At 48.1% G+C, this 8,205-nt stretch overlaps 2 annotated features.

Moving 5' to 3' along the window:
* Nucleotides 955-1,511: an enhancer, noted in NCBI's record as "H3K27ac-H3K4me1 hESC enhancer chr10:133344691-133345247 (GRCh37/hg19 assembly coordinates)". NCBI's record gives its function as "activates a minimal SCP1, AML or CMV promoter by ChIP-STARR-seq in primed H9 embryonic stem cells {active_cell/tissue: H9 hESC(primed)}" and the evidence as "EXISTENCE:reporter gene assay evidence [ECO:0000049][PMID:30033119]".
* Nucleotides 1,512-2,069: an enhancer, noted in NCBI's record as "H3K27ac-H3K4me1 hESC enhancer chr10:133344133-133344690 (GRCh37/hg19 assembly coordinates)". NCBI's record gives its function as "activates a minimal SCP1, AML or CMV promoter by ChIP-STARR-seq in primed H9 embryonic stem cells {active_cell/tissue: H9 hESC(primed)}" and the evidence as "EXISTENCE:reporter gene assay evidence [ECO:0000049][PMID:30033119]".

Below are 8,205 nucleotides of genomic sequence, written 5' to 3'. Positions count from 1 at the left end.
GTTTTCCAACCCACTCAGGTCCTCGCAGAGCTCCGTGTGGGGAGCAGAGTCCAGGTGGCACAGTGCAGAAGCTGGGCAGGGCAGCCGCCTGAGGCACCCTTTCCTCTGAGAAGGCCCCTGTGGCTCCCTGGGATCTGTTTTGCATCATTCATTGCCCTTAGCTTCACGTGATGGAGGGTTCTAGCTCCCAGTGGTGAACCTCAGACCACAAATAGCTGACTGGCCACCTTAAGCCTCTGGGCACCCAGGAGCGGGGCTGGAAAGTTCACGCTCAGGGAAAAGGGATGTGTGATTGCCTCACTATGTGGGTGACAGATGTGAACCCCCCGGGGCTTCCAGGCCACGCATGTTCCCATCTCTACCCCATCACATTTGGAAATGCTGTGTCCCTAGGGCAACTTGCCCTCAGGGTGTCCGCACCAACCTTGACACACTGTGTCATGTGGCAGAGCTCTGCTTGTCACCCCGTTGTACATATCCCTCTAGGTGGGCACTCTATCTTCCCTGCCCACCTTTGAACACCCTGTCCTGGCATGGGCCTGGCACTGACTCCTCTTCAGTACAGATGCCTGCATGACTGTACCATCATTTCAAGCAGAGCGAGAGTTCCCAGTGCCAATCAGAATGCCAGCTTGCCACAGCAGAGGCATGACCAAGACCTTCAGGAATCCATGGAGGAGTTTCTGGAAAGCAAAGGGTGAAGATGGACAGTACAATGCTGCCTCTTTGCAGGACAAGTATCCAGAGGAGAGGGTCATCACTTGTTTTCATAAAAAGCAGAGAGATGGATTTGGGTCTGTATAATAAATCAGAATTTCTTTGTTGCTTATGAAAGTGAATTTGTATGCAGTGTTGTATTAGATTTTTATCTTCGTGATCAATTTAAAGTATTTGCAAAATCTTCCCATTTCTGATATATTTCAATTAGAAGGATAACTCTTTTGAATGTCCATGATTACACTAACACATTTTGCAAGAATTACCTGTGGTCTTTGTTTAATGTAGCAGCATTTGACACTGAGTGTAATACTCTTGGGGACACTGCAAGGACATGGTTGTTATCATGTCTAAACTTCCTTGCCTGGATCTTTTGTCACTATTACGGAATCAGGGGGGCTGGGGGAAGAGAGTTCAGCTAACATGTCCTTGTCCGTCCGAACTTCCACCAGCATTTATTGCAGACTGCATGTGTGAGGCACTGCTGTGTCCAGCCCTTTGAGTTCGAGTTTGAACCTGACTGTGTGCCTGCTGACCAGGGCTCATGGCATCCTGGCCACACCTCCCTGTGGCTCTGGCACTGTCAAAGCTGCGATTGCCAACCCATTGCAGTGGGGATGGAACAGGCTATGAGTCATGCTCCCAGGAACGTGACACCTGAGCTGAGTTACCTGAAGCTGCTGGTGACAAAAGGGGGACAGGACTCCTAGGCAGGGGATGAGCATGCATTCCTGCACAGAGCCAGGGGCAGCCAGTGGGAGGTTTGTGCCTGTGGAGAAGGTGGAGGGTGAGTGTGGTGGGAGGATGGAATGAGGGGCAGGGCCAGATGCCCTGGGACTTGTGTGCTTCCCCTCCCAGGGGTGCAAGCAGGGCAGGGCACTGTCCGATGGATGCTGAAGAGGGGACCTGTGACCGGGCATGAGAACAGTTGGCAGGGCTGGCTGAAGGAACATGGAAGGGGGGTGCCGTCCTTGGCAGGGAAGACACCGAGGAGGGGCAGAGGTGGGAGATGCAGTGAGTGCAGAATCTATAAGACTGACCTCCAGGGAGGATGGGACACTCCGTGGCTTGGCGCTCATCTGCTCAGCAATAGTGGGGAGATTTCTAGAGGGGGAGCGCCTGGGCCCCATCCGATCTGGGAGAAAGATAGCTCCATTCTGCACGTGTTGAATGTGAGATTCCTGCAGGCATTCAGGGAAGATCCCCCAAGGCAGTGGCATATCTGAGTCCGGAGCTCAGAAGTGAGTGAGTTCCAGGCTGGAGCTCACAGGCTTTGACTCTCGCATCTATTTAGGGTAACAGGGGTTCCTAATATATCCCGCTGCCTTTGATTTCTTTTCCACAGAAAGGAAAAGACTTTATCCGGAGGACTTGTCGGGCTCTTGCTTATGACTGATTTGACTGATGCTGGCTCTTTTAAAAAAAGTATCGTACTTTATGTGAACTGTCAGCTCTCATCTCCGAAGGACAGCTTTTATGCTTTGTGGCACACTCTGTGTCATTGCTGTCAGCTCAGGACCACATCTACTGCGGGCTCATTAGTTTCAAGTGTGTGATTCACTGTGCATTTTGAATGTGATGTCTGTAAGTTTTTAAGTTTCTTACTTTTGTTCCCATTTGGGAATTTTTCAAAAGATAGACACTAAAATAAAACCGCCAGGAAGCAGCTTTCCTTACAAGTCTCTAGCTCGTTCTGAGATGTTTGTGATTAATGGAAGTGAACCAACAAACTCTTATCGTGGCTCAGCTGCCTTTGTGGGCCCCAGGTATTCCGGGGAGAGGTTCCCAGCTGCAGAGGGGACGGAATCCCCAGCTGGCTGCTGGGTCCTGCACCCCGCCCTGTCTCTCTCATCCACCTGTGATTACCGATGTGCAGTCAAGGTGATGCTGTTCATCCACAAGCCAAAGCTAACGCAGTGCAATGAAGGTTGGGCCCTAAACACACTTGGCCCACCGGCTGTGCCGGGGCTGCCTGTGGGACTCAGGGGCTTGAGCAGGAGCTCAGCCGTGTTCTCATTTCCTCGAGTCATGTGAGCGCTTTGGACTGACGCAACAGGAAAGTAAAGGACTGAGATGTGGCAGGGCACGGTGGCTCATGGCTGTAATCCCAGCACTTTTGGAGGCTGAGGCAGGTGGATCACCTGAGGTCAGGAGTTTGAGACCAGCCTGGCCAACGTGGTGAATCCTGTCTCTACTAAAATACAAAAAAATTAGGCAGGCATTTGTAATCCCAGCTACTCGGGAAGCTGAGGCGGGAGAAATGCTGGAACCTGGGAGGTGGAGGCTGCAGTGAGCCGAGATCACGCCATTGCAACTACAGCTTGGGCGACAAGAGCGAAACTCTGTGGGAAAAAAAAAAAAAAAGAGTGAGATGCGCAGTGTCCCTTCAACACCACACACAGAGCCTCTTTGGAAGGGGCCCTGGGGGGAGGCCTGCATTTCCTGTTGCTCCATGTGTACCAGCATGTGGGCCATACTTCTCTGGTGCCCTCTGAGCCTCCTGGCCCCGCAGCCTCTCGGGCAGCTAGAGGTGCCGCCTCTCCCACAAGGCTGATGCCCAGCTGCTGTTTGCCCTTCTAGTTTTAAGGAGCTCGTCCAGAAGGGGTCCACTGTCAGTGAGGGGCCAACCAGAGCTGACCCGCTTCTCCTTTGCAAATGCACGTGTGTCCTGGACCTGTCTGTGGACAGAGCCCAGATCCTGCCTCTGTTCACAGAGCTTTGCAGGGGCGGCGTGTCTCTGGAATGTGCACATTGGGACTTCTGGATGAAATTTCTCCTTTTCCCCTTTTCCACACTCCAGCAGCATCTCCTTTGCAATCTTCTTTGCCTTTCAGCCTCATTTCACGGCCTCCCTTCAACTGTCCTGATGCTGCTTCTGCTTGCTACAGAGAATGACAAGATCAATTTTTTAATTTAAAGAGATAAAACTTCTAAAATGATTTTTTTTTACTGGTCTTAAAAGCGTACGTCTTAGAAGCCACATGATATGTGGTGTTCTATTACTAGGCTTTTACTGTGGGTCCTCACAGCGCCCACTGGACGCGTTAACTAACACGTTCTTCCTTACACACAGGCAAAATTCAAGTCCCGTAATGCTCACAGATTTAAGTAATTTCACTGTCTGCTTTTCTACGTAGGCTTGTCTCTGTATATGAAGCTTAAAAGGTATTCCTTGAAGTGAAATCATCTAATTCAAAAGTATCCAGTCACTAATTTCTGTTGTTGGTATGATAAAGTCTACCGTTACAAGAGTGGAAATATAGAACCTGCATTTGCTTTAGTAAAAGCAAAAAACACGGCAGACCCCAGATTTAGAGACGGCTGATCCTTCATCCACTGCTTTAGTCTTTGTTTAACTTAATTCCTTTTGCCTTGAAATGTATCTTGTTTAGGTAACTGTTGCTTTCCTGGACTGTACTTGGTCTCCCCATCACCGCCTGGAAGCAGGCTGTTTTAGGGGTGGGCTGGTAGAATAGTGAAGAACCACCACAAAGCAATTACATAAGGTAAAAGTATTTTACCATCTTAACTGATAGAAAAAAACACATTTGTTTGTTTAACTTACTGAAAATGACCAGTTCTGTTCACTGCTAGGTGCCTACGTTGCAACCCTCAGTAACTCCTGTCTCTCTGCAGCCATGGTTCACTCGCTTTGATCAGCTTATAATTTGTGCATTGTTTTGAGACTTTGCTTGGGCAGTGTGGGCTTGTTTCTAAGAAGATCAGTGAAGTTATATGTGGCTTCTCAAAATATCCGTCCTTAAGGAAAACAGAAACTATGGCTCCTGCCAAGGAGTAAAACTCGACTTGGCTTCACTCGGAGCAAACAGGACCTTCAACAGGCTGGATGAGGCACGCATTTCCGTCCCCAGCACCCCATGCACGGTCTCTGATGAGTACATGAATGGATGCATTTGCTGGTATTTTCCATGGTGTTGTGACCAAGACTTGGCATTTTAAAAATAAGCACTTTGCCTGATCATCAACCAGTTTATCGTAACAGCACTTGAGCATTCAGCAGCCTCAGAGGGTTTTGTGAATTTCTCATTTTCCAGGAGTGAAAGCTGTTATTATTTTTAATTTTCTGCTCCTGCAAATGCCCTTCCCATGTCCATGAGCTTTCCCCTTCTGTGTCATTTGCAGGAGAAGCAAAGTCCCTTGAACTTTCTTCTCCGATTTCAACCCAGATTGTTGACAGCAGTCCCAGACATTAGCACAACGCTTTCCCCTTGACAAGATGCTGGCACTTTTGCTGCTCAGGTTTGAGGCAGAATGACGATGACCCAGGCAAGTGAGCTGGTCCTGCAGGGGAATGGAGACTCCTGTGGGCTTCCAGGAGACCCAGGCCCCTTTGAGGGGACAACCCACCCCTGGTCCTCAGGAGCTTATCTCAGCACACTTGGCTGGGATGCAGACTGGGCCGTGGGCCCTGACAGGCACAGTACATGCATTTCCAAGGAAGTGGTGGTCAGGAGACTCCCACAGAGAAGCCCACGATGACAGGCTCTTAGAATGTGGATAACATGGCACAGCTGAGATGAGCTTTGGTTTTAAATGGGAACCAGAGAACTCCAAGACCAACCACAATAAGGCGCGGGAGAGTTATTCTGCTTCCCAAAGAAATGGGTGTACAGAAGAGCACATGTATTAGTCCATTCTCACACTGCTCTTAAGAACTACCTGAGACTGGGTAATTTATAAAGAAAATAGGTTTAATTGGCTCACAGTTCTTCAGGCTGTACAGGAAGCATGGCTGGGGAAGCCTCAGGAAACTTACAATCATGGTGGAAGGTGAAGGGGAAGCAAGTATGTCTTACCATGGTGGAACAGGGGAGAGAGAGAGAGAGAGAGAGGGAGAGAGAGAGAAGGGGGAAGTGCCACACACTGTTAAACAACCAGATCTCCTAAGAACTCATTCACTAGCACGAGAACAGCAAGGGGGAAATCTGCCAGTGATTCAATCACCTCCCACCAAGTCCCTCCCCTGACACTGGGAATTACACTTCAACATGAGATTCGGGTGGGGACACAGTGCCAAACCATCTCAGCACCCCTTATTAGGGAGGCCCTTGCTCTGAGAGGCTCCAGGGAGGTGGAAGGGACTTGGGGCCACGGAAGTCATAGCAAAGGGACAAGCATGTGCTCAGAACACAGGGGACAGGGCCACAATGCATGTTCTCCTGTCAGATTAAAGTGTCCCAAAGGTGCACCATGATGGGGAAGGGAGAGTCACGTCCTCTGGCTGATGCTGGCTGTACCCTGCAAAGCCACAGGCGCAGAGCTCCCAAGACCATGGGAGCCCATCTCTTGCATCAGCATGACCTAGATGTGAGACATGGAGTCAAAACAGATTATTTAGTAGTTTTACCCTGCTGGATTTCAGACTTGCTTGGGACTTGTAGCCTCTTTGTTTTGGCCAATTTCTCTCATCTGGAATGGCAGCATTTACCCAATGCCTGTACCCCCATTGTATCTAGGAAGTAACTAACTTGCTTTTGATTTTACAGGTTCCTGGGTGGAAGGGACTTGCCTTGTCTCAGATGAGACTTTGGACTGTGGACTTTTGAGTTAATGCAGAAATGAATTAAGATTTTGGGAGACTGTTGGGAAGGCATGATTGTGTTTTGAAATGTGAAAACGTGAGATTTGGGAGGGGCCGGGGATAGAATAATATGGTTTGGATTTGTATCCCCACCCAAATCTCACCTTGAATTGTAAACCCCATAATCCTCATGGGCGTCAAGGGAGGGAAGAGGTGGGAGGTGATTGGAGGTGGCGGTTTCCCCCATGCTGTTCTCATGATAGTCAGTGAGTTCTCATGAGATCAGATGGTTTTATAGGTCAGTTTTCCCTGCTCCTGCTCACTCTCTCTTGCCTGCCATCATGTAAGACGTGCCTCTTCCCCTTCTGCCAGGATTGTAAGTTTCCTGAGGCCTCCCCAGCCATGTGGAACTGTGAATCAATTAAACCTCTTTGCTTTATACATTACACAGCCTTGAGTATGTCTTTATAGCAGGGTGAAAATGGACTAATAAAAGATCCATTCAGAGAAGAACAAGGAATGAAGAGGTGCTCTGTCTCAGCCAATGGATAAGGAAACTGGAAATGGCTCACTGCACCACAGATATGGTATTTACCTTAGACAAGTTTGAGAGGAAAGAATTAAATAGAAAAGACAAAATGCCAGATAAAAGGACCAAACAGTGACAGATTAGATCAGAACATGAAGGGAAGTGGTCTTCCCCAGATTAAAAACTGTTTCATTGACCCAGTGGAGACTCCCAAAGAAAACAGAGGTGAGCAATTCCTGCATCTGAGGAGGGGGAGGGGGGCCTTGGCAAACGGAATTGTGTTGGAGAAATCGGGGCCTTCCACATGTCGGGTGCATGAATTGAGAGTCATATCTGAAGCCATGTGTAGGAGCATCTGCATATCCACAGGTGTGTACACTCACACGTCTCTTTATCAAAGGTGGAGCTTAGGCTGTTTGTGCAGTTTGAGATCTTTTTTTCCCTCTTAATGTTAAGGTTTAATTTTTTTATGAATTAAAAACTTCGGGATTTTGCATTTAAGTCTTTAATCCACCTTGAGTTGATTTTTGTATGTGGTGTAAGGAAGGGGTCCAGCTTCAGTCTTCTGCATATGGCTAGCCAGTTCTCCCAGCACCATTTTTTGAATAGGGAATCTTTGTTTTTATCAGCTTTGTCAAAGATCAGATGGTCGTAGATATGAGGCTATTTACAATTGTTTTAAATCTTGAAGACAAACAAACAATAGAAGACAAAAACAAAAGAAGAAAGGAAAAGAAAGGAGAGAGAGAGAAAGAAAGAAAGAAAGAAAGAAAGAAAGAAAGAAAGAAAAAAGAAAAAGAAAGAAGCTGGGTGTGGTGGCTCATGCCTGTAATCCTAGCACTTTGGGAGGCTGAGGTGGACCAATCACCTGAGGTCAGGAGTTCGAGAACAGCCTGGCCAAAATGATGAAACCATGTCTCTACTAAAAATACAAAAATTTGCCAGGCGTGGTGGCAGGCGCCTGTAATCCCAGCTACTCAGGAGGCTGAGGCAGGAGAATCACTTGAACCCGGGAGGTGAAGGTTGCAGTGAACTGAGATCACACCATTGCACTCCAGCCTGGGCAACAAGAGTGAAACTCCAAAAAAAAAAAAAAAAGAAGAAAGAAAGAAGGAAGGAAGGAAGGGTCATGACTGTAATAGTAATCCCAGTGCTTTGGGAAGCTAAGGTGGGCAGACTGCTTGAGCTCAGGAATTCAAGAACAGCCTGGGCAATATGGCAAACCCCATTTCTACCAAAAATACAAAAATTAGTGAATTGTGGTGGCACACACCTGTGGTCCCAGCAATTCGGGAAGATAAGGTGGGAGAATCACTTGAGCCTGGGAGGCCAGTGCTATAGTGAGCCATGATCATGCCACTGCACTCCAGCCTGGGTGACAAAGAGAGATGCTTTCACAAAAAAGAAAGAAAAAATA

Source organism: Homo sapiens, chromosome 10 (genome assembly GCF_000001405.40).
Source record: "Homo sapiens chromosome 10, GRCh38.p14 Primary Assembly".
In the NCBI taxonomy this organism is placed as follows: domain Eukaryota; kingdom Metazoa; phylum Chordata; class Mammalia; order Primates; family Hominidae; genus Homo; species Homo sapiens.
This window is presented reverse-complemented; position numbering and strand designations above follow the sequence as displayed.